General features: G+C 38.5%; 1 protein-coding gene across 23 annotated transcripts in view, besides 3 other annotated features; it reads right to left on the reverse strand.

The window, feature by feature from the left end:
- Positions 1-19,128, reverse strand: part of VEPH1 (ventricular zone expressed PH domain containing 1) — a 243,864-nt gene extending 224,736 nt beyond the window's left edge. For 5 of the 23 annotated variants that reach the window (XM_047448921.1, XM_024453746.2, XM_047448928.1 and 2 more), the window contains exons 1-3: positions 18,800-18,939; positions 14,918-15,179; positions 10,735-11,029 (exon numbers count right to left, since the gene is read on the reverse strand). In XM_047448921.1, the coding sequence (XP_047304877.1) occupies positions 10,735-10,872 (138 nt within the window). In that variant the 5' untranslated portion in view covers positions 10,873-11,029; positions 14,918-15,179; positions 18,800-18,939. Of the gene's footprint in view, positions 1-2,897; positions 2,973-3,629; positions 3,870-4,577; positions 4,684-8,709; positions 8,817-10,734; positions 11,030-14,917; positions 15,180-18,799; positions 18,940-18,993 lie in introns of those variants that run through there. The other 18 variants (XM_047448922.1, XM_024453748.2, NM_001167916.3 and 15 more) reach the window with 11 other exon arrangements.
- Positions 14,531-15,095: an enhancer, noted in NCBI's record as "H3K27ac-H3K4me1 hESC enhancer chr3:157216797-157217361 (GRCh37/hg19 assembly coordinates)". NCBI's record gives its function as "activates a minimal SCP1, AML or CMV promoter by ChIP-STARR-seq in naive H9 embryonic stem cells {active_cell/tissue: H9 hESC(naive)}" and the evidence as "EXISTENCE:reporter gene assay evidence [ECO:0000049][PMID:30033119]".
- Positions 15,096-15,659: an enhancer, noted in NCBI's record as "H3K27ac-H3K4me1 hESC enhancer chr3:157217362-157217925 (GRCh37/hg19 assembly coordinates)". NCBI's record gives its function as "activates a minimal SCP1, AML or CMV promoter by ChIP-STARR-seq in naive H9 embryonic stem cells {active_cell/tissue: H9 hESC(naive)}" and the evidence as "EXISTENCE:reporter gene assay evidence [ECO:0000049][PMID:30033119]".
- Positions 18,732-18,966: a silencer, noted in NCBI's record as "fragment chr3:157220998-157221232 (GRCh37/hg19 assembly coordinates)". NCBI's record gives its function as "represses an EF-1alpha promoter that drives an FKBP-Casp9 reporter gene in an ReSE screen in K562 erythroleukemia cells {active_cell/tissue: K562}" and the evidence as "EXISTENCE:reporter gene assay evidence [ECO:0000049][PMID:32094911]".
- Positions 19,129-24,775: the final 5,647 nt, after the last annotated feature.

Below are 24,775 nucleotides of genomic sequence, written 5' to 3' on the forward strand. Positions count from 1 at the left end.
AAAATGTATACTTCAGAAAACAAGAACTTGGATTCAGGAAAACAAATAAAAAAGAAAGGTGAAAAAAGAAACAGGGAAATATTAGGTACTTTAAGCAAGCATTGACTATACATTTTTTTAAAGCCTCTCATTTAAAAAGAATAGTTTCAAGGGTATTACACAGGTAAATAAAAGTGCTGGTTAATAACATGTAAGATGGGCATTAAAGTCTTCCAAGGTACTTCTAGGAATAGGAGGAGGACAGAGTTCCTGAATAACTTTAGACATAGTTACTGTAATTAATCAAATGTAATATGGCAGCAATGAGAAGATCTATGATTATTTCGTGTGTCATGAAGAAAGAGAAGAGACTGCCAGTTAAATTGTGAGGGGCATCATGCCTCCAAGAGAGTCCTATACAGGATATTAATTGAGCATACTAGACTCTCATTTCCTTGAAATTTCTTTCATCTATGCTAAGAGAATTGTCCATTTCTCCTGCCCTCAATTGTATTACTTATTATAGTGTAATAGGTAGGTGATCTTTTACCAATATCTCAGTAACAAAAACTATATTCTTTTTTAGGTTCCATATAGTGCCCAGTTATTATTTTGCAAGAAAATGTGGAATTGCTGTCATTCCCCCAATGATTGGTTAACTAATATAAAACTTATATACCATGATGCTATTCTGCATGCCTTTCTGCATACACAATAAGTTTCTGTTTCAGTGCCACATTATAGTCTAGTAGTTTTGAAAACATTTTAAATGGATATTTAACTCAACATTGGTAGGAACAACAAGGTATCTAATTCAGTTAGAATGGTAACAATATGAAGAACAATATGACAAGTTCCTGCACATGTAGGCCATGACAACTATGTATGACTACTGCCTGGCCAACAGCAATTGGAAGATTGTCATCAATTATAAAACACATATTTATTTCAGAGATTTTAATATGGGAAAATGTCTATCTTAGAATTGATGAAATATCATCAGTATGTTTGCTAAAATGTTAAAGGCAACTATATTAAAATAATAGAAATAGAATATATAATCTTCAACCCACTAGTCCCAAGAGTGGCAGGAAATAAAATGATAAAAACTCAATCAATTAAAAATTTTCAGAAAAAATATAAAAATAAACATGGAAAAGTCAGAAAATACAACACAAATAAAATGAAGAAATACATCCAAATAGATCGCTTATCATAATAAGTATGAGTTGACTAAATTTACCAATTAAAAGACAGATATTTTCTATTTTGATTATTTAAAAAATCTACTTATATAACATTTACAAATTACATTAAAGTCATCATGACATAGAAAGGTAAAAGTAAAAAGACAGACAAAGAAAAAATAGATATTTCTACTCCAAAGAAAACAGGCAAAACTTATTAGGAATAAAAATGCTCAGTATATACTAATGAAAAGAAAAGTTCTCCAAGAAACAAATAACAATCTTTAACTTGTGCATACATAATAAAAAAGCCCCTAACAAGCTTGACAAAATTACAAGGAGAAATTGGCAAACCCAAAATTATAATGGAAAATGTAAAACATATCTGTTAGTAACTGATGGTCCAAACAAATGCAAACTTATTGAGGATATACAAAATTTGAACAATATCATTAACAAGAGTTATTTAATCAACATATTTAATATCCAATAATATAGATATTAAGACATCCAATAATTAGAGAATACACATTCCTTTCAAGCACATATTAAACATTTAAAGAGGCAGCATAGGCCAGACACGGTGGCTTATGCCTGTAATCCTAGCACTTTGAGAGACCGAGGCGGGTGGATCACGAGGTCAGGAGTTCAAGACAAGCCTGACCAACATGGTGAAACCCCGTCTATACTGAAAATACAAAAATTAGTCAGGTGTGGTGGTGGGCACCTGTAATCCCAGCTACCCAGGAGGCTGAGGCAGGAGAATTGCTTGAACCCAGGAGGCGGAGGTTGCAGTTAGCCAAGATTGTACCACTGCACTCGACAGAGCAAGACTCTGACTCAAAAAAAAAAAAAAAGAGGCAGCATAGTTTGGTGGCTAAGAATAGCTTCTGAACTCACATTCTGGGCTTGATTTTTGGTTCTACCAGTTACTAGCTATACAACCTTGGTAAAGTTACATTATTAGCCTTTCTATGTCTGTTTCCTCATCTATAAAATCGGAATATTAGTATACTTATCTCAAAAATTTACTTAAATAAATATATTAATGTGAAAAGCTCTTAGAACAGTTTCTGGCACACAATAAGTGCTACATAAGTATTAGCTATTATAATTTACACAGATTAGCCATAAACTCTGTAACAAAGCAAGTCTCAACTACTTCGAAATAACTGATACCATGCAGTTCACATTCTCTGACTACATGCAGTTAAGATTTAACTTAACAACAAAAAGATTATAAAAATTCTTGGGGAAATTAAAACTAACTTCTAAATTACTTGTGAGTCAGAGGAAGTCACAATAAAACTAAGAAAATATTTAGAATTTACAATAAAAACATATCTCAAAACTTGTAGAATGATACTAAATGTTACTTAGCAAGAAATTTATGGTCTTACATGCTTATATTGGAAAATAAGAAAGTTAAAATAATCAATAACCTAATTATACAATTGAGGAGACTAAAAAAAAGAACAGCAGAATAAAGCTACAGAAAGTACAAAAAGTAAAGTAGTAAAGACTTAAAAAGAAATTAATAAGATTTTGAAATGATCCTATACAGATGATCAATAAATCAAAACTTTAAAAAGTAGAAGGCAAAGCTTTGAAAATATGGGTAAGATATCAATGAATACAGAAGCTGCCAAAAAATAATAATTCAAACAATTTGATGCTAATAAACTTGAAAACTCAGATAAAATATAAAATTGCTTAGAAAATATACTTTACCAAAAGTGACTGAAGCAAAATTCCTAATTTTCCTCAAAAAGATTGAATCAGTAGTTTAAAAATCTATTAAAATACACAAATTTATAGTGCCAGAGAGTTTTATACTGTTCTATGAAATCTTTGAGGATTAGGTCACAATATTACAAAACTCTTGCAGATAACAAAATGTGGTAACATTTCTCAACTCATTTTATGAAACTACTGTATATAACTTGATGTCGAAGCTAGGTAAAGACAGTGGAAAAAGGACAATTAAAGACCAATCTCATATATAAGCATAGTTCTAAAACTACTTTAAAAATAGCAAATCAAATTTTAAAATGCATTAAAATAAACAACAAATTTTATTTTGCTCCAGGAATACAATAATGGTTCTATATTTGAAAAATCTATTACTGTAATTCACCACATTAACAGATTAAAGGGGAAAATAGGATTATCTCAAGAGGATAGAAAAATCAGTTGATAAAATTAAACAATTCTTAGAAAAACAGGAATAAATGGGAACCTCCTTAATCTGATAAAGAGCATTAACCAAAAGCCTGGAGCAAACATTATGCTTACACTGAAAAGTCAGAAAATTCTCTTTAAATAAAAAGAGAGAAGGATAACTCATTCTAGTCAATCTAGTTCTGGAGAGCTAGTCAGGATATGAGACAAAGAAATCAAATAATAGAATAAGGATTGGAAAGGAAGAAACAAAACTATAATTATTTTAAAGTGATGACTTACACATAAAAAATAATCAAGGAATGTGCTTCTTCCATTTAAAACATATTTTTTTCTTGATTCTCTCCTCTCTCCCCATCTCATTCTTTCTAAATACCAGCCCATTTCTCTGATCTTTATGGGAAAATGCCCAGGGTTGTCACTGCTCATTTTCTTCAATTCTCTTCCCACCATCTGAAACTAACTCCAATCTGGCTTTCAGTCTGACCCATCCAGTGACAACTGCTCTTGTCCAGTCATAATGACCTTCATGTGTCTGAACCTCAGTCAATTCTCAGTCTTGACCAATCAGTGACAAATCTCATTTGACCAATCAGTGGCATTTGACATCACTCTTTCCTTGCAACAGCTTATTCACCTGGCATTCAGGAAACCATGATTTTCTGACTTTCTTTCTTTCTTTCTTTTTTTTTTTTTTTACTGGATATTTCTTCTCAGTTTATTTTCCTAGTCCTTCATCATCTCCTTAACTTCTGAGTACTGGACTCAGTCTTTGGACTTTTTACTTTCTGTCTGCACTCACTCCCTTGGTGATCTCGCTCAGTCTCAAGTCTGACAAGTTCCAAAATTATAATGGCCAGCCCAGACTTCTCTCCTGCTCCAGACTCATACATACAATACTTGCACATCTCCACTCAGAATTCTGACAGCTCAGACTTTACACATGTAAAGTGGAACTCGTGATTCTTCCTACACTCCCTTCCCCTCACCCTCCCTTTCCAAATTCCTTCCTTCCTTGGTCGTCTTCATCTTAATTATTGACAATTTTATCATCCTAGTTTTTCAGGCCAAAAATCTTAAGTTCGTTCTCTCTCTCTCTCTCTCTCTCTCTCTCTCTCTCTTTCTCTCTCCCCCTTCCCCCCACCTCCCCCTCTTCATCACATGCACATACTTCAGCAAATCCTGTTGGTCCTATCTTCAAAATACATCCAGGATCATCTGAACACTTACCACCACCACTGCTCCATGATGGTCAGAACCTCTGCTTCTTCTTATCTGAATTATTTCAGTAGCCACTCAACTGGCCTTTCTGATTTCACTCTTGCCTTTCCACAGACTGTTCCCAAAACAGGAATAGAAAAATTAGACCATGTTACTTCTGCTCAGAACTCTCCAGTGGCTGCCCAAGACTCCAACAATCCAGCCTCCACTTCTCTCCTAACCTCATCTCCCTTTCCACATTGTTCCCTTCACTACAGCCACACCGACCTCAGAAACTCCAGCCTACAACCTCAGGACTTTTGTACTTAATGGTCCTTCTGCCTGAAATGATTTTCTCCAGTACAGCCACACTGACCTCAGAAACTCCAGTCTACAGCCTTAGGACCTTTGTACTTAATAGTTCCTCTGCCTGAAATGATTTCCTCCAGGTACCCAAAAGTATTGCTCTCTCATCTCCTTCAAGTTTTGCTTAAATGTCAGCTTTTGTCTCAGTATGGACTACCTTGTGCACCCTATTTGAAATTTCAAGCCTCCGATATCCTGTCACTGCCCTCTGCGTTAATTTTCTACATAGCACTTACTTATAATCTTCTAATACACTACATATCTTCCTTATTTATTTGTTTATTTTCTGTCTTACCCAATTAAATGGATGATGTCAGAGGGCTTTTTTTTTTTGTCTTTTTTGATTACCCTTCTATCCTAGCATCCAGTACAGTGTCTGAAACATAGTAGACAACTAATAAATATTTGTTGAATAAACTGGAAAATGTATATAGACAAATTATTAGGATTAGTAAGAGAGTTGAGTGAGTTTGCTGAACATAAGATCACCATACAAGAATCATTTATGTTATAACCAACTGAAAATAGAATTGGAAAATATAATTTTAAAAAAGAATATTATTATATTCTCAGAAAAAAATATAAAACACTTATACATTTAACAAAAGATGTATAATATTAACATTCTTAGGAAAAATATCATAAAACCTCTTTGAGCAACATTTAAAAACATATAAATAAAGGGATAGAAATGTAATGTCTATAGATATAAAGACAGTAGTACATAATGATGTTAATTTTCTTCAAATTAATCTATAGTTATAATAACACCCAGTTAAGATACTGATAGAATTATTCAGAAAACAGGAGAAGCTTAATATAAAATTATTAAAGAACAGAAAAAAACAAAGCAGTGTTAAAGAAGGGTGGGAATACTGTCCTATCAGATATCAAGACTTATTACAAGGTAAGAGATAAACTGTGTATCAGAGTGAGATATGCAACCTGCATAGGTGACAAAGGACTAATACAAGAATATACAAAATAGTCCAAGTTAATAAAAATAAGATTTTAAGACTACAAAAGAAAAAAGAAAAAAAAAACATAAACAGATACTTCACTGGAAGTAAAGTGGTAGGCACTTCCTTCAGAGGAAAACAAATGGCATACAGCAAATAAGCATATGAAAAAATGGTCAACCTTGGTAATAATGAGAGGAGTGTATATTTAAACAATTACATGCTGCTTCACTTAGATTAAAAAAAACTTTTAAAATCTGATAAAAGCAAGCACTGGTGAGGATATAAAGCAACTGGAACTTTCATACACTGATGTTGGGTGTGTAAACTGGCACATCCCTGTTGGAAAGCAATTTGTTGGTATATCACAAAGTTGCAAATACACAAAACCCTAAAACCTGTTGTTTCACTTTTAATTGTGTACTTTAGAAATACTTGGCAATTACAAGTATTTAGAACTTTAGAAATAATTGGCCAAAATTGCCAATTACAACAATGTTTACTGTAGCACTGTTTAAATAATAAATATAAACCAAAAAAAGAATGGATACATTGTAGCACATTCACATAAGGGAATACTCTGCCTCAGCAAAAATAAATGAGTTGAAACTACCTGTACCAATATAGACAAATCTCAAAAACGTAATTTGAGCCCTATGACAACATTTATATAAAGTTTAAAAATACAAAATACTATGCTGTAATTCACTTTGGAACCATGGATGTGTAGCAAAAACAAAAACAAAAAGCAACCATGCATAGCTAAATACCACAAGGAGGATATTGGTTACCTTGGGAGGCATGAGGGAGGAGAATTGGATTAAAAAGAGACATGCAGGGATTTTCAATTGTACCTAACATGTTAAAGTGGGTGATTCTGTGTGCCTGGTGTGTTTCATTGTTAAAAGAAAAATAAAGAGAACTGGAAGGCGGGTGGATCGGTTGGGCATGAGGTGAGCACCAATGGAAAGGTGGGAGAAGTGGATGAGTGGATGAGACAATCTCTCTTGGAGTAGCCTGGGAGGAAAGCCAAGTTAGTACAAGTGATTATCAGGTAAAACTGGTCTAGAAAGGACTTGAAATGAAAAGACAAAACTTAAAGGTATGTTTGGGAACTTGGAGAGGATACTGAGTTGAGTAGTCACATTTTCAAAGTGAAACATAAGGGCAAAACATTTCATAGTAGTATTTTGTAGTAACTGGTAGAAAAAGAGGACATGGACTGGACAGTAAAATCTAGTAAAGTTTAATTATTTTTGTGAGTGGCTTTGGGGGAAGGATTGGAGGCTTGTTTGCCACATTTTTGGATTCCACAAAGCTGAAAGTGCTAAGTAATATATTTGACAGAATCATGATGTTTAAAAGACATATTCTGGAATGAGGGCTTAAAGACAATAATTTTTTTTGCAATGTTGAAAATGTGGCAGAATACACTTTAAAAAATTTAAACTTATCTAATTACAAGTCTTGATTCAACCTGAATGCCTTAGCACATCACAAGATAAATGTGGACAACTGATTTTTTAAAAACATAGAATATTTGACTAGTATTAGTAGTTGTTCTAAGCAATTGGTCTGAGTATTGGGCAATGATAAATTACAATAATAAATTAGGACTATTCCAAAGGAGGGTAAGCAGAATGATAAGAGTGTAGGCCATACCTGGGAGCTTCAATGAAGCCTTCTCTAACAATGCAGAAACAAGATTGTCCTTTGAGGATTAAACCAATAAAGTCCACTCATATGAGTGGGATTAGCCAGTACAGGCCTAAACCAAGACATTATCTTTTGATGGGTGACTTTGCAGGTGAGTTAGATGTAATCTCAGGGAGGAAGGGCTGGAATGTGATTGTCATGGAGGAGGAAGAAACCTAATCAATAAAAGTATTTCTTATCCAAAGAAAGACTGAGTAAACAGACTTGAGAACAGCATGAAACACACAAGAATTCTGATCCGTACGAGTTATAATTTTCATTGTAAATCAGTACATCGTGTTTTAATCTAATTTATATTTCCAAGTCTTGTATTTGGATAGCATGATTTGGATAGCATTTCTCAGGTACCAACAAAATTGAGTTTTCCAGATCTGACAGTTGATGGCTACAACATGAGGTGCTGTAACCTTTCCCAGACACAGGCTCCTTCTTTGTCATGGAAAAACCCAAGGTCACTAAGATGTTTAGCTGGGATGAGACAAGCCAGAGGTGAAGCCTGGTGCTTATCTTCAAAAGGTTTAAAGTTTTTCTTGTAGAAACAGAGGGTAGACTCTTTTGATTGTTGGGGGCAGAGAACAGAACAGAGACAACAGGTAGAAAGTACAAAGTAAGATTTCATCTGGCTAAGCAGAGGAACATGTTAACAATTTGAACTCCCAACAATGAAAATGCTCTCTCTTTGTCAGGGTTCTTTGATCATAAGCAACAGAAAAAGTCTGAATAAGTACAGCAAACAATAATAATAATAGCTATAAGAAGAAGATTAGAGGTGGCCCACTTATTTGAAGGAGAAAGTGAAGTACCAGGCCTTAAAAGGAGCAGTGATCAAGGCAGCTACAATGATAGAGAGGGAGGAAGTAAAGTACTGTTTCTTTGGGGCACCGTCCTCATGATAAATCACCCCCTGCTGATATCTTTCTTAAAACTACTGGGGAAAAACTTCTGATTTTCAAGCTTGGGCCAGGTGTTCACCTCTTCTCTCCCCCACCACTGATAGGGAAGGGTAGTGGGCACTCATGAGTAGGGAACCTTGATGGAGATGCCATCAAGGTTTTATGCAATGGAAAGGGACAATTTACCAAAGGAAAATTGAGAAGCAGGTAAAAATATTAGAAACCCACCATATTCGCATCATTGCAAGTGCAGGAGAAGCCACCTATTTTTCAGCAATCTTCTGTGCTGGAAGTTGGAAGGGGCAATTTAGACGATCCCTTCCTGTTCTACGTTTCTGAAGAGAAATTGAGAAGTGGAATTGATTACTGAGATCCAAGGTCATTAGGAGAGGCCTAGAGAGGAATAGCTGGGGCTGGATCTGAGGGAAGGATGGGACGCAGCTAACAGGGATGTAAGCCATAGAGCAGGCATGGTGGTTCCATGTGCTAATCAGAAAAGGAAGATAAGGAGCTGCTGGCATTGGTAACCTCAAACTTGATATATGTAAATTACAAGCTACCATTCTTCTTCTGTTCCATGAGAGGGTTACAGATAGAGAAATGGAAGAAGTAAGATGTGGTAAAAGTTAGTAGATGAAGAAGACACACGAACTCCTGGCTCTCCAGAACTCCTGGTAGAGTGAGATGCTATTTGGACAGCTTAATGAATGGACGATGATCCTAATGACAAGGGACCTGCCAGCCTTAATGGCTAACCAGTGGAGTTATATAATAGAACTGAGTCACCAGTCCTAAAATTCTGAATTTGATGTCTGTGAAACAAAGCAATTAATGATGCAAACAAAATAAATAACTGGCCACTAGTGACCTCTAGTGGAAGTAGGCTTTAGGGAACTTATGTGATCTTTGATTACTGTTTTGTTTTGTTTTCCTAGTAAGAAGATGAAAACCAGTGTAATTTTCAGCCAACTGATTTGCAGAGGAGTGTGAAAGAAGGGGTTTCTGAAAACAGGACAAAAATCTTACCCAGAAAATGAAAATGTACCAGGAACATGTTGTGCTTTGCGTCAACCTAAGTTGATTAATGTTCTGGAAAAGATGTGGATGAGTAATTGCCATCAAAGACATTACCTGAGAAAAGAAGAGTTTTTTGAGCAGTGACTTCATTGGTCACTGGGGGGAGTTCAGCATGTTAATGGCAGCCAGCAAGAGAAAATAGGCTTGAAGAGGAGGCTGCACGGGTTGCCAGTATACCTTTTAAATATATCTTCTTTGTAACACAGAAGAGCGCTGTTGTTTCTGAAATATGCACACATTTGCCAATTCAGTATTGTATGGCTTGAGTCCCACCACTTTCATCTTTCCAATGAGTGTCTGTGCCAAGTGTTGGCTAACACTGCTGAGCTGGGAGGATGTGGGTGGATGCCTGGTGGCCCTAGGCCTTTGAAGTGGGACCAGTCTCATGGAGGGTCCAAGTACAATCAAGAAGGTCAACATGAAACCACACTGGGCACTCCACATCCATCCCCTTTGGGAAGTGCTTTCAGAATATATAATCTTGACATTGAAGAGAAGCGAAGGAATGCAAGTATTGATGGGAGGTTTTACATCTGTCTGATCACACTGGGGACTAATAATGGGTGGGTGGAATTAAATGGCAGGTCCAGGGAGTAGGGATGCAGGTGGGTAGAAAAAGAAGCAAGGGAAAGATAAAAATAGAGACAATACAGAAGTAAACAGAATCAGCCTTATTAAGTCCTGGGCAACTGTCACTTCTGGCAGCAAAGCGATCGTTGTCCTTGTCTCATATTACCTGCGTGGCAGGAGGTGTCATCCTGCCTTCTTTCATTATTCAGCCTCCCACACACACCCTGCTCTTGTTTACTGATGCTGTTATGCTGCTCTGCAGGTCTGCTTTTCCCTGGATTGGCTCCCTCTCCTCTCAGTGTCATTTCAAGGACATAAAAATAGCCCCTAAATAATATTTTTGTGAGAATTCCATGCTGCTCTGCAATTTTCAGAATTCTGGTCTTTGTGAGTGGGCAAAAGATGATCTAACTGCCCCCTACTAAGCCATGACTTCCCTACTGATATTTCTTAGATGCCAACAAAACCACAGAGCAGATTAAGAGAGACCAATATTAGTGGTATTTCCTCTTTCCCCTGCAAAGATCTTTCTGCCAGGATATAAACAAATCTCTAGCTCTAGGACAGGCCATTTCAGAGATGTAGTCTATAAACCAGTTTACTTACTGAAGATGAGCTAATTATCTTAATTTGCTCCAAAGCTTCTGTAAGGCTGTCTTCAATCTCAGAGTCATCTAAGGAGAAGAGGTCCCCAGCTCGTGAAAGATCTTTTTGTCCCAAAACCAGTCTGAACAGTTGATGCATGGTGAGGATGAGTTTGATCAGTTGACTTTCTACAGACCCAGAGTCATGTGTTCCAGTTATCAGAGGTCAGTAAGACAAAAACATGTAGAAGGAGGTATACTTCTTATTCCATGAAAGGTCATTTTTCTCCAGACTTTGAGGTCTTCATTGACACTCTCTGCAAGGGAAACAAATGACACAATGTAGCCACTGGCAGAATGGCATAAGCTCAGAATGTGAACTCAGTGTCCAGCGGAGAGAGAGAGAAAAAAGAAACTTGGAAACATGTGCCTAGACTAATAGATCCTGGCTTAATGATCTTTAAATGAACTCTTTCCTTGTTTTTGTCTCAAAAAGTCTTGTCAAAAATTACTAGGTTTCTCCAGAATTTAATTTGAACTTTAAAAGTCAACATGAGCCCTACGCTTTTCTCCTTTCTACATCCTTCTCTTCTCTCCATGTCACAAGGAAAAACAACAATCATGCCTAACACTTGCCAGATTTTCCTCAAAAAGATTCTCATGGGAATCAAACAGAAAGGGAGAACAAAAGGAAAAGAGGGAGCATAGGAAACATCTCCTAGACCCACTTCCTTGAACCCTTTCTTCCAGAACCTGGACACAGAAACCAGTGCTTACCTCTTGGTTGGGCTGCCTTGCTACGCTAGCAGTAGAAGTTCCCTGCTCTGTCAGTCAAAAAGGTGACCTCAGTACTTACCCTACTCCTACGTACTCTATAATCAAGTAGCAATAAAATAAAGATGCTGCTTAGGAGAATGGCGTTAGATAAATCTCTACTGAACATGAAGATGAACTTTAACACTGAAATGAACATGATAGCCTTGCCATGTGGGCTAAAGAGGAGGGCTTTGGGATCAGGCAACTCTCCCTCTATTCCAGTTGAAGTAATAAAGTCCCACTATATTTCTCACCCAATTAACAGTCTACAGAGAGGAGGGCAATGGCACAAATTAGACATCTGATTATTCTCATCAGCTCCCTTCTGGGCCTAATAAAATCACAGACCATTTGCACTGGCAGAGACCTTAGTAATCATTTAATGTCCAGTGAGGTTTAATGACTGCCCCAAGGCCCCATAATAGCTGTGGCAAGGATAGTCTACTGATTTCAGTCCAGTGCACTTCCCTCACAGTTTACAGTAGAGTGGAATCACCTCATACATGTGGGTAGCTTACAAATGTAGCCACATGCTTAGTGAGAGCCAAGAGTGAGTTATTTAATACAAGTAATAGGCATTTCTACCTAGCATTTTACTCTGAATGGTTTGCCAGAAAGAGTGTGAAAAGGGAGAGGAGAATCTATTGTTTCCTTGGGTAGTCTCAGACCTCTCCTCTGAGCTATTGTTGTGAGAGCACCTCTTTGTGTTGAGTGCAAGTTTAAAGACACATACTCTTCAAACACCATGGCCTCAAAATACAAGCCAAAGCTTTCATTACACACTCAACTAAATAAGCTATCTGTAGTATTGTAAGTGGTACAATTCATGAGTCATAGGGATTTTAAGGAAAATACTCTCTATATGCAATTTTTGTACTATCTACCAGCTTTTGAAAAATGAAGCCTAACACTTACATGCCTTTATCTATGTACCAGGCATAAACACTTTGTAAATATTAATTCATCTAATCCTCATAACTATATGAAAATATGTCATCCCCACTTTGTAGGTGAGCAACCTGAGGTAGTTAAATAACTGCTAAAGCCATGCAGCTACAAAACTGGAGAGCTGGAATTTGAACCCAGAGACTCCAGTAGTGCTAGACTCCAAGTTCATAACCATTATGAAATATTGACTCCATGTAAAATGTGAGGCTACTGTTAGGAGTAAAGGTCCTCAGAGCATTATTAATATTAATGATGAAGGTGTGAGCAGGGTTATCAAGCAAGAAAATGAATTCCTCTCCCCTTCTACACTGCTCCTGGATCCTTGCCCATTCTATGCCCTGAGATTTAGAGCAACCAGAGAGCAAGACAGTCACAGGAGAAGACGCTTGGAGGAAGAGCAAAGGAGAGTGGTAAGCTTTCAGAGGGAGGTGGAGCACAGTGAGGTACTGCAAAGTAGTTCGCACCCTGGGAAATGTGGGAGGGTGAATCACAATATCTCTAAGGAAAATCAGCACAGTGTTTTCCTACATTTTTCTCTTAACACATTTTCCTCCCAGGCTCAGATATTTACAGTGACAAGAGTCTCAGTAAAATAATATTCAGGAAAATTGGATGGAAATGACTTCACCTGACCTGTCAGCTTGTTGGACATGTGGCACTCCATGAAGTACATTCAACTGCCCCAGTCATAGATGCTCAGGAGCTCCAAGAAGGAGCAGTAATACGTGCTGGTACAGAGGAGCACCCCCAGGCTTTTCCTGGGCTCTTTCTGCACACTCCACATTTACATGACACCTGGTGTGGAGTCCCACATTCATGCTGCCAACTTCAGCTCTTACTCTTGAGGGCCCATCACATGCAAAACATTGCTTTGGGCCCTAAACAGAAACATCAAGTTGTTTAACACACAGCCATACAGGAAAGCTTTCACAAACATAGGGGTGGAGTGGGGAGAGGTGAGACTTACACATTATTTTTCAAAGGGCTCTTTTGCACGTTTTCAACTGTGATCTTCAAAACACCTTCTACAATATGGGAGTGACCAAGAGAAAAATCTCCTGGATACTACAAAAAGAAGTTTGGGGAAGTACAAGGGAGAGAGAAGTCACTTCCAGGGGAAGATGATAATGAATAGCTTTATGGAGGAAATGGTATTTGAGAAGCACCTTTAGGATAGCTAAGATTTTTACAGGTTTTATTCAGTGCACTTGTGCTGAGTTCATACTAAGTCATCTGCTCATCTAGGAACCAAGGGTCATGTCCCAGCTCAGCTATTCAGCGATTATAGGACCTTTAGTTCATGTTGTTTTCCTTTCTTGAGACTTGGTTTTCTTATTTGCAAAATGGGGCTAATACACACCTCGTCTATTTCATCAGGGTGTTTTGAGGGTCACAGGTGATAAAGTGTAAACGAGCCCTTTATAAAATAATGGCACAACTGACATTTGGTGGGTGTTTGCCATGTGTCAGGTACTTATCTCAGTGCTTCTCACATACTTAGCCACTTAATTCTTATGACAATTCCATGCAATCAAAAACTGATGTTTAGAGAGGAAAGTAACCACCAGCAGAGGCACTTGAAGAGTAAGTTGCCAAGTCAGGATTGAAGGCAGCTGGTCTCCCAGGATAGTTGTATTCATGACTGTGTGAGATAATTATTATTGAGCTGTCTCCCTTCCCATCAGCTCTCATCCAATGAGTACCTCCACATGCTGCACATCCCTTCCTAAATAAGGACTGGCAAGGCACATTATTTATTTTTCAGCAGCTCTCATTAATATTTTGCTCAGGTGTCTGGCTTCTCCTGCTGTTCTTTTTGCAATAGCAGGGAAGGTCAAAGCCAGATCAAATTCTACCTCATGTTCTGAGAAACTCCCTACCCTTATGAATGTCATAGTCCTGTGGCCTGTGTGCACGTGTACATATACATGTATCATGTACACACAAGCATACCATATACACACATGCACATATGTGCACATACTCAAAATACTTTCTACACATCAACCTTTTTGCTAGACACTAGATGCTTTCTTCTTTTAGTTCTCCCATCAACTCTGCAGGTAGATATTACCACCTAAGAGGAAACAGGACCAGTGAGGTTAAGTATCATGCCCAAGGTTACACACAGAGCCAATATTCACATTCAGGTAGGCCAGACTCCAAAATCTCATATTTTTTGTATGATTTTTAAAAGCTGGCTTATAAAATTCTTACAGCCTTTAATTTGCTTCCTTCATAATTTCCTTCCCTAATCTTTAAGGGGTTCTAATCTGAGGCCCACCTTCTCATTATTTAGTTTTTTTTTTTTTTTTTGGCAGGTATTTGCTGGCGAATCAGCTTTCTGTAGGGAGAAACAGAAACCACAAAAACAGAAATGATGGCGCAAAACGTGGCACATTTCAGGGAGTCACAGCTGTCCCGCGCAAACTCGACTTTACCTGCGTGCTACTCCTCAAAGGCGCCCTTGCAGTTACTCAGCTGCATGGTTTGAGACTGGGCGGGAGATTCAGGCAGGCTCCGAGGGCACAGCGAGTGGAATCCGCTCAGCTCAGTGAACCTGAAGTTGTTCATTGCGGAGCCGGTGCCGGGTGGAAGAATTCAAGGAATGCAGCCTGATGCCACCGGCAGCCCCAGAGACCGGTCAGGTGACAGGCTGCACCTCACCCAGCGGAGTTACCTCCCAGTGCAACGCTCTGTTTCCTGAGGTGAAACACAAAGCCTGCTCCAGTAAAGGAGAGTTGTTTTTAACAGAGAAAACAGAACTCCCTGTGTTCGTGAAAATCTATACTTTCCCAGGGAAGAATGGGGGGCGGGGGCGAGCCACGCAGGAAACAATTTTCAACAGAACTCAAGCAGGTGAACGGAATGGCTGTAGGGAGCCACCTCTCAGAGCTCCAGGGGAGGAGAAGAGAACTGCAGCTTCATTAACACTTCCCTCTCCCTGAGATCTCACAAACGTTTTGGAAACACTGAGTGTTCGTCCAGTAAGAGTCACCTCCTAAAGAAAGTATCCCTTTACTCTGCCTCTAGAGTAAAATTGTTGAAAGTTGAAGTATGCGGGAAGTTGCTAATAAACAGAACAAACTTCACAACATACGTACTCTCTTTTTTTCGTTATTTGCTGGGAAGCTATTCATAGAAATCCACGTGGACCAGAAATATTGGATTTGTACTTTTAAATATTGCAGCAACACTCAGGCAAAAGGTTTATCCTGCTTAATCTACTGACACTCCGATGGAGAAAAGGGCACTGGAACCTTCCTTTATTCTTTAAACAGTTAACAGTGCACTTTAAAAAGCAAGGTTTTTAAGACTGCATTCTTCTCGACCCCTAAGTCGTCTGTTCCTGTGGTAGATCTATAGCTATATCAAATCATCTCACTTCTGGCAATGTGTACAGGCAGCTATCCTGCAGATAATCTCATCTTTGTGCTCACTAGGGTGTGTCTACTCAAAGGGTGTGGTCAGGGTGGCCACAGTTAAACCAGGTCATATGTTCCAGGAGAACGACCTCGTAAATCTGCCTAGACAGTTGGTGATCAATCATATTTTTATGCCATCCACATTTGGAGAACTATCCCCTTGAAGAATTCCTTTATAAAAATCAAGAATCCAGTCATTCATGAGTAGCTGTATTTTTTCATTAGTAGTTTTTCTAATTTACAATATACTAATGAAGTTTCGTCTTTTAATGGAATAGATGATATTGCTTTAGCCTTCCCTTTTAATCCTCTATTCATTATTACTGATTTTTAATCCCTAGATTTTTATCCAGTTTTATTTTTTTAAAGGGTGTAGAGTCCTGAATTGGACACTCTATGGAACTCCAGTAAGAAGAGCAGAGTGATAAGAGTATGGGAATCTAGACTCAACTGGATTCCAAGCTCAGCTATGCCATTACCTGCAGTGTAAATGTGGGCAGGTTAATTAGACTCCCTGAGCCTGGAATTCCTCCTTTGCTCCTGAGGATTGTGATATGGGTTGTTGGGAGGTTTAAGGAGATGATATAAAACATTTAACACAGAGCCTGGCATATGGCAACCACAGAAAAAGTGCCAGCAATCATATCCTTAAGAGTACTATTATTCCTATAGATGGTCCACCAGTTAACACATCCCCATGCCATACCTTTTAAAAATTAATACATGACTGTACTGTTCACTAAATTGGGTTCACAGAGCTAAAGATGTTTAGGTTGTTTCCATTTGAGCCATATTTATATCTTTGTTGTCCTTTCTCTATCTTAGTCATCCTGTCCTTACCTCTGGGTTGTTCACTTTTCATCTGTAAACTTCATTCTCTTGAATGGGTCCCTGTTGATTTTTTGGCAACCTTATCTTGTTTCCTGGAGAGATAGTTTTACGGTGATCCTACCCACACCAAGGTTGAACAATAACAGTGAATGTTTTTACAGAGCAGAAATGGGCTAGAATACAATGTATCTCAAACTTTTTGTGGCTGGGTAATCCAAACACCTGAGTTTTCCATGGAAGTGTAGCACTCCTTCCCGTGTTTATTAGTGAGAAAGGAGTGGCCCTCCAGGGCTCCAGCTACTTTCTTTACTACTTTTCAAGGTGACGTACACTCAATGCCCACTAATAAAACATTAGTGGCTTACTCTATTATGCATCTGTAGATTCTGCTAAATGAAAATATACATGAACTGGAGGACTTAATCGCCACACTATTGGGATACTGCCTATAGAATAATTGAAACTCTTGGGGGAGATTTCAATCACCATAATTAACTCAAGAAACCAACTTATTCTGAAGAATTCAGCCTCTAGCTTGCAACTTAGGTTAGGGTATACCCTGGCTTCCTCACTTCAGAAAATTCTAGAATGACAATATTTATTTACATTACGCTTTAGACTACATTACTCTGCATCAAAACATTTTCATTTTATTCACCTGTATTAAAAATGCTCATTAACAAACTTAGACCCATTTGGGCTCTAGAAACTTTCAATAAAGTTCTCAGATTTTTCCCTTGAAAGAAAGGATTACAGATTCTTTTGAAGGAGCATCTTTTTCACACAGCGTGAAAGGACTACAGGCGTTCCCATGGGAATTGGCTGCATACATTTCAGCCCTTCCCACAAGATGTCTATTGTTCCCTGGATGTCTCTGGGCTTCCTTGGCTGTGGCGTGCTGCTACACTTCACTTCTACTGAAAGCCTCTGAGTCTGGCTTATTCTAAGCAATGCTAAAGGCTTCAGCCCTGTCTTTTTGCTAGAGTACATACGATCTAAGTTTGTAGCAGGCTTATTTCATAAGTACATGAAAAAAATAGATTTGGTGACCTATTTAGTCAAGAGCCCAAAAAACTACTTAATTTTGATTACCTATTTCAACTTATTAAAACACAAATAGGAAACATTTCCTTCAAAAAGGATGAGAAACACTTATCTTCAAGTCTAATAAACTTTCTAAAATCAAGGCTTTTGTGACTTGTCATAATTTTATAGTGTATTCATTTTCACCTGTAAATGTTGACTTTGTTGGTCATTTTTGCTCTGGAATAATACAAATCTTGCTGAAAAATCCTAATTCAAATTCGTGGGTTTGTTCTTCCAGAAAATGTACCAAAACTCTCAAACTACATGGAAAACTCAATGTTAAATGTATCTTCATTTACATTTAAGTTTCATGTACCAAATATCTATATGACCAACTCAAATATTTCTCTAAATATTTTTTTCTGCTTTTTAAATCAAAAATATATAAATGTCATTTAATCCAATGGTTGATTACTACAACAATTTAAGTGTGTATCTGAAAGAGTAAAAAAGTGGTTAGATTTAATTATGATTTGTAAGATATCTGAAACACCAAAGGAAAAAACGGCAGCAGCAACAAACAGTAATGGTGACCCTGTTCAACCCACTGACTGTAATGATGCTATAATATTTAATTTTCTTTGAAAATCCGTAGGCAGAGCCAGTTTCTTTGCTGGTTGCAAAATGTTGATTGAAGTAAACAAAAGTATAAAATAGAAATGAGACTAGATTATTACGGAGTAAAACAAAAATGCACATGATATGAATCTAGAAGCACAGCTTTCTGCTCCTGAGGCCTAGAGACATGTTTTAATAACCCACAGAGAAGTGGCATTTTTACTCTAATAACCGAAATGCCTGCATACATGGCTAGACACACAGCTCCCAAATGTGCTTTATCTGCATAATCAGCCAGCCCCTGGAAGTTTCTCAGCTCCATTCTCCTATCCCCCACTCTTTGCTTCTTTGCAGCCTCTGACATTTACTTTAATTAGCTTTTGTTTTTGCTGAACAAAAGGTCATGAAAGAAGATAGCCATACCTCTTTGCACAGGAATCTCTGGTCATAGAAAATAGAAGGCAAAATCCTTGATCTTTAGAGCACTGCAGCTGGGACCCATGACCATGCTCAGAGGCAGCCTTGCAGCTGCTGCCCAGTCCTGTGGGCTGCAGCCGCGTCTCCCTGAGCTGCCTGTCAAGCCAGTGGTACATTTCATTCCCTCCCCATTGACTCACCGTGCGGAATCAGGCAAATGAGTAACTTTTCTTCTCTCTCCCAAACTTCTGCTTAGACCTAACAATTGACGCAAAGCTTCACTTATTTCTACACTAGATTTACAGATTTCTCTGAGCAGATCTGTAGTTTGAAAGAATTAGATTTGCCTAACAACCAGTAATTTAGGTTCTGTTAATGAATAACTCACTTTAAGAAATCAAGGAAGTTTTAGGTTAATATCAGATGTGGGGCCTTTTAGCAGGCATCAGGAAAAAGGCTTGGGGAGGGAATGCAGGAAGGGAAGCACTGGAATGAAATGGTATTTAAGCCAAATATGATAGAAGAAAAATACCACAAGAGAAGCAAAATAGCTAGGGTAAAGGAGCAAAAGTCTAATTATACTATTGGTATTGCTTACGAAACACACAACAACTTAATGAAACTTCCCTGGTAGCACTAGAGATTTTTCTGAACCCTCATGGTTCCTTCTTGCATCCACTCAAATTTCTAACTCCTTCCTTTTACCATCCAAATATAGAACTCATCTTTTCAAACCTAATTCATTGGGGATCCCTCACAAGCACTCCCACATCGCCTCATCTCTCTCTCTCTTTTAAGGAGAATGCACTTTAAAACCTCTAATGCATAAATTAATTGGTGGTGCCCAGTGGATTATTATATCTAGAGGCTCTTCTCTCCCTTTAAGTGTATGGCATGGGCTTTCTTCCCTTATTGATCTGAGGTTTTGCCTTCACATAAAGTGATAAAACATTTCTGAGTCTCTCCCGACCGGAACTTTCAGTCAAACCATGTGAGGGTAACAGGGAGGGTGGGGGCGGGGGCTGCAGTGGGGAAAGTCAGGTGTAAGATGTACAAGTGGAAATAAAAATATTTCCATTCAGTGGCAATCATGCTGCATGTAAAAAAATTACTAGTCCAATTAAAAGGACTACTCATGGGGTGAAGATTACTTTCTCTTGTGTTTGACACTCAACATTCACTTACTCTACTTTTAGTCAAAACTGCACCCAAATTTCCCTTGGGAAACCATGTCCTTTGGGTACAGCTGATGCCCATAAACAGGATGGGCCTTAATTGGTCTTACCCAAATTAGAGTAATTGCATTCCTGTGATCATAGTGACTAATGCAGGGCAGGTGTGCGACCCCTTCTAGGCCAATGAGAGGACAATGATGAAAGCTCAGCTTTGGGAGTAAAAAGTCTAAGCTGCTGGACTTGATGATAAGAAGGTGTAAGGTCTGGCTGCTATTGCCCTCTTGCCACCAAGAAAACTGTTGACTTCATTTGGGCCCCTTAAACCACCTGCCCCTAATGCTAGCAAGACCTACCCTTCAGTGTACACTAATAAATTCCTTAATAGCTTAAGTGATTTTAGATTGGGTTTTCTGCCATTTACCATTAAAAAATTTCCACCTGACAGAATCAGCCTAACCTAGTTTTGTGGGAAGTCTCTCCTGGGTGCAGCTCATTGAAAATTAAGTGGACTAAGAGACTCAACAGGAACTATCTATGACAAATGGGCTCCTTCAGTGACAACCACAGGCTTCCTCTGACAACTAGCAGATGCAAGAAAGGCCTGGAAAGGAATGTAGTCATTCAGTGTACCTGAAAACAGGACCTTCTAAATTATTTTTTCCTAACCAGCTACATAGTCATTTCCTCAATACTTGAGTCCCCCAAAATAATTAAATTTAATCTCTTAGACTTGCCTGGCAGTACCTAGCCACATACCATTTGACCTCAATACCCTTGTCATGGAATCCATCCATTCATACACAATTTTCAAAAATTTCCTAAAATCACTTACGCTATTAAGGAATTTATCAGTGGACACTGAAGGGTGGAGCTTGCTAGCTTTAGGGGCAGCTGGTTGAAGAGGCCCAAATGAAGTCATCAGGTTTCTTGGTGGCAGAATGGCAACAGCAACCAGATATTACACCTGTTTGTCAAAAATGTATTTGAGTAATCAGTTTTACAGAGTATTGCTTTGTCTTTATTTTTCCCCTCTGTTCTTGTCTAACTCTCACTCCTTCCCCTCCTTTGGGAAACTTGAAATAAAACATTGTCTGTAACCACAAAATCAGACAAAGACGTTTTCTTTACAGAAAAGAGGTAAATTCTAAGGCAACTTACATAGGTGAGTTACATATAAACACTGAGAACTTCTGAATGATTTCATTTTCTATAAACAGTTTTTCTTACCTGTAATCATGAAAGCTCCTGTAAGCACACCATTTCTATGGTCAGCCTTCCAGCTTTGAAGAGTCCATTGCAGGCACAAAAACTCAGACACAGCCAGGAACTCCCTTTTGGCTCAGCAAAATAGCATGTGGCATGAACTATGACAGTCAAGTTTCTTTCTTTCTTTCTTTCTTTCTTTCTTTCTTTTTTTTTTTGAGAAGAAGTCTCGCCCTATTGCCCAGGCTGAAGTGCAGTGGTGCGATCTTGGCTCACTGCAACCTCTGCCTCCTGGGTTCAAGCAATTCTCCCACCTCAGCCTCCCTAGTAGCTGGAATTACAGGCGCACACCACCACACCCGGCTAATTTTTTTTTTTTTTTTTTTTTAGTTTGTTTGTATTTTAGTAGAGACAGGGTTTCGCCATGTTGGCCAGGCTGATCTCAAACTTCTGACCTCAAGTGATCCACCAGCCTCAGCCTCCCAAAGTGTTGGAATTACAGGCATGAGCCACTGCACCCGGCCAAGAGTCAAGTTTCTTTAAGAACAGGAATAGGGCCCTATGGCTAAGGTTTATTCATTTTTTTTCATTATAATAAAGAACATTTTGATAAAACATGCTCCCAAATTAAAGAAGACTCATTATTCTCCCAAACTAGCTCCTCCTTCCGTGTTTATTTTGGTGAGGGCCCTCACCATCTACCAAGTATACAAACAGGAAAGCTGAGTGTCATCCTGTATTTCTCCCCTTCCTTTTCTTACCCACATCCAGTGACTCTCTGGGTCTTATCTATTCTGTGTCCTTAACATTCTGGATAGATCCCAAGGTGGCCCTCGATGATCCACTTTCCGGTGTTTATTTCCCCCTTGTGTAATTTTTCCCACTTGAGTATAGGTGAGACTTGTGACTTGCTTCTAATGAATAGAATGAAGTAAGATGATAAAATGCTATTCCTGTGATTGCCTTATATTGCTAAGGCTCCATATTGCTGGCAAACTTCCTCTAGAGAGTCTCCTTGCTGGATTGATGGAGTAATGGGCCATGTTGAGAAAGCCCACATGACAAAGAACTATGAGTAGAGTCTAGGAGCTAAAGGTGGCCTGCAGCCAACAACCAGCAAGAAGCCAGGGCCCTCAGTCCTTCAGACACAAATGAATGAATTCTTCCAACAACCTTAGTGAACTTGGAAGATCCCCAGACAAGCTTCCACATGAGAACACAGCCCAGCCAATGCTCTGGCTACAGCCCTGTGAGATTCTGAGCAGAGGAACCATCTAAGCCAAGACTGAACTCTTAGCCCACAGAAAGTATGAAATAATAAATGTGTGTTGTTTAAGTAACTAAGTTCATGGTAATTGTTACAGAGTAACAGAAAATGAATATACAACCATTTTCCCCCTATCTACTGTCATAGATAAATAGCTATTGTCTTTGTAAATTCTTCATCCTTTCTTGTCTGGCTATTGACATTAGTCTCTTCAAAGGTCTCCCTGCCTCTAACATGGCCTCTTCAACTTCATTCTCACTTCTGCCACTAAATCAGCTTTCTAAAATAAAATATGATATATGAATCTCTGCTTAAAATTCACAAGTGGCACCCATTACCTGAGGATGAAATCAAGTTCCTTTGCTTGGCACACAAGGGACTTTGTAATCTAGTCTGCACCTGACTCTTCATCTTTGCTTCCCTTGCTTATGCACACACAACCCTGTGTAGTGAGGTCACTACACTCAGAATACATCCAAGAGCCTATCACTTTTCACCATCTTTACTACCACTGTTGTCTGTGATCAAAACACCATCATCTCAACTCTAACTTGGATTATTGCAATGGGTCCCTGGATTCTGTCTTTGGTATGCGAAAATATAGTCTAAACAGAGCATCCAGGTGATCCTACTAAAATACAAGCCAGAACTGACTCTCCTCTATTCAATACAGTGCAATTGAATGGCTCTACATCTCACCCTGAGTCAAAGCCAGAGTCCTTTCAATGATTAACAAAGCCCTATATGATATGGCTTCCCCATCTCCCCCACATCTTCAACTTTATCTCTTACAATTCTTTGTTTTGATCTCTCTGCTCCAGTTACACTGGAGCTACACAGAGTTTCCTTGTTAATCCTTGGTCACAATAGGTAATTCCCACCACAGAGCCTTTGCATTCGCTATTCCCTCTGCCTAGCAGGCTTTTACTCCAGAAGTTCACATGGCTTGCTTCTTCACTTCCTTCATATCTTTACTATACATTACCCATACATGTTTCCCTTGATCAATCTCTGTAAAAGAGCAACATACCCTCCCTTCCAGGCATGTCTCGTTTCCTGCTTTATTTTCAAATTTTTGTCCATAGCACTTACTATCAACTGACATACTATAAATTTACTTATTTCTTTTTAAAAATTACCCTTCTCTCGCCACTGTCTCTAGAATATAAACTTTATGAGGGCAGATACTTTATTTGTTCGCTTGATCCCTAGACTTTGACATGATATCTGGCACTTAATATGAACCTGAGTTGTTGAATAAACTTTGAATAAATGGGTGAAGGTAATTTAAGCTCAATCAAACTCTCCATGCAAAACTGTGATTTAGAAGTAAACGATCTGGTGAAGGATGACTGTAGAAACCACTGTGTCATTGAATTTGGTAGCAGAAAGCTCTGTCCTTCATGGGCAGATGTGGTAGCAAGAGCAAGTTCCTGGCTCAGCATTGGCACCTGTGGGGGCAGTGGTGGTTTCCCATAGGACCTAGTACAGGAGCAGCAGGGGCTTCCTCATAATGCCTGTTCTCCAGTGTGGTTTTGATTATTCAGTTCTCCCAGCAATTTTGTGAATTTCCATTATCATAATAAAATCCATAACTGTTTAGTCACCCAAGAAATGCTTCTGTCACTTGCAACTAAAAAACCCTGACTGATGATATATACTCGTCACTCTCCCTTCTACTTCTGTGCCTTGCTCCTGCCAGTCCCTCAATCTCAAACACCATGATCTGTCTATAAAATGCCAACTCATCTTCCAACCATAACTCTTACCTCTTCCTCTCTGGAAAGATATGCATGCCTAGTAGAGCTGATCACATCTTCCTTTGTCTCCACAGGGTAACTCCTACAGACCTCTACTATATAATTCTCATTCTCTCCCACTAGCTGACAACCCCTCAAGGACAGGCATGAGGTTTTAACTCATCTGAGGAACCTCAGCTCTACTACTATTAGCACAAGGAAAGAATTCAATAAAAAATTCATGAATGATGCTTTCTTTATAAAAACATCAGTGAAATAACAATTCTATAATTGAAAATAATTCTGATGCAGAAGGAGAGGGACAGCAAAGAAACCCATTGACTGATATGCAAATTTTTCTTGCCAAACTGGTAAAAAATAATTCTAATTTTTCCAGTATTAGCAAAGAGAAAGAAAGGGGACATATCCTTTTACTGAAAAAATGCTAGCCAACCTGATAGGAAAAATAGAGAAAAGATGCAAATTACCAGTATCAGGAATAAATGAGTTAACATCACTACAGATTCTGGAGATATTAAAAGGAAAGTAAGACAATTTTATGGAAATTTATGTCAATAAATTCAACAACTTAGATGAA

The sequence above is a fragment of the Homo sapiens genome, chromosome 3 (genome assembly GCF_000001405.40).
Source record: "Homo sapiens chromosome 3, GRCh38.p14 Primary Assembly".
Lineage (NCBI taxonomy): Eukaryota > Metazoa > Chordata > Mammalia > Primates > Hominidae > Homo > Homo sapiens.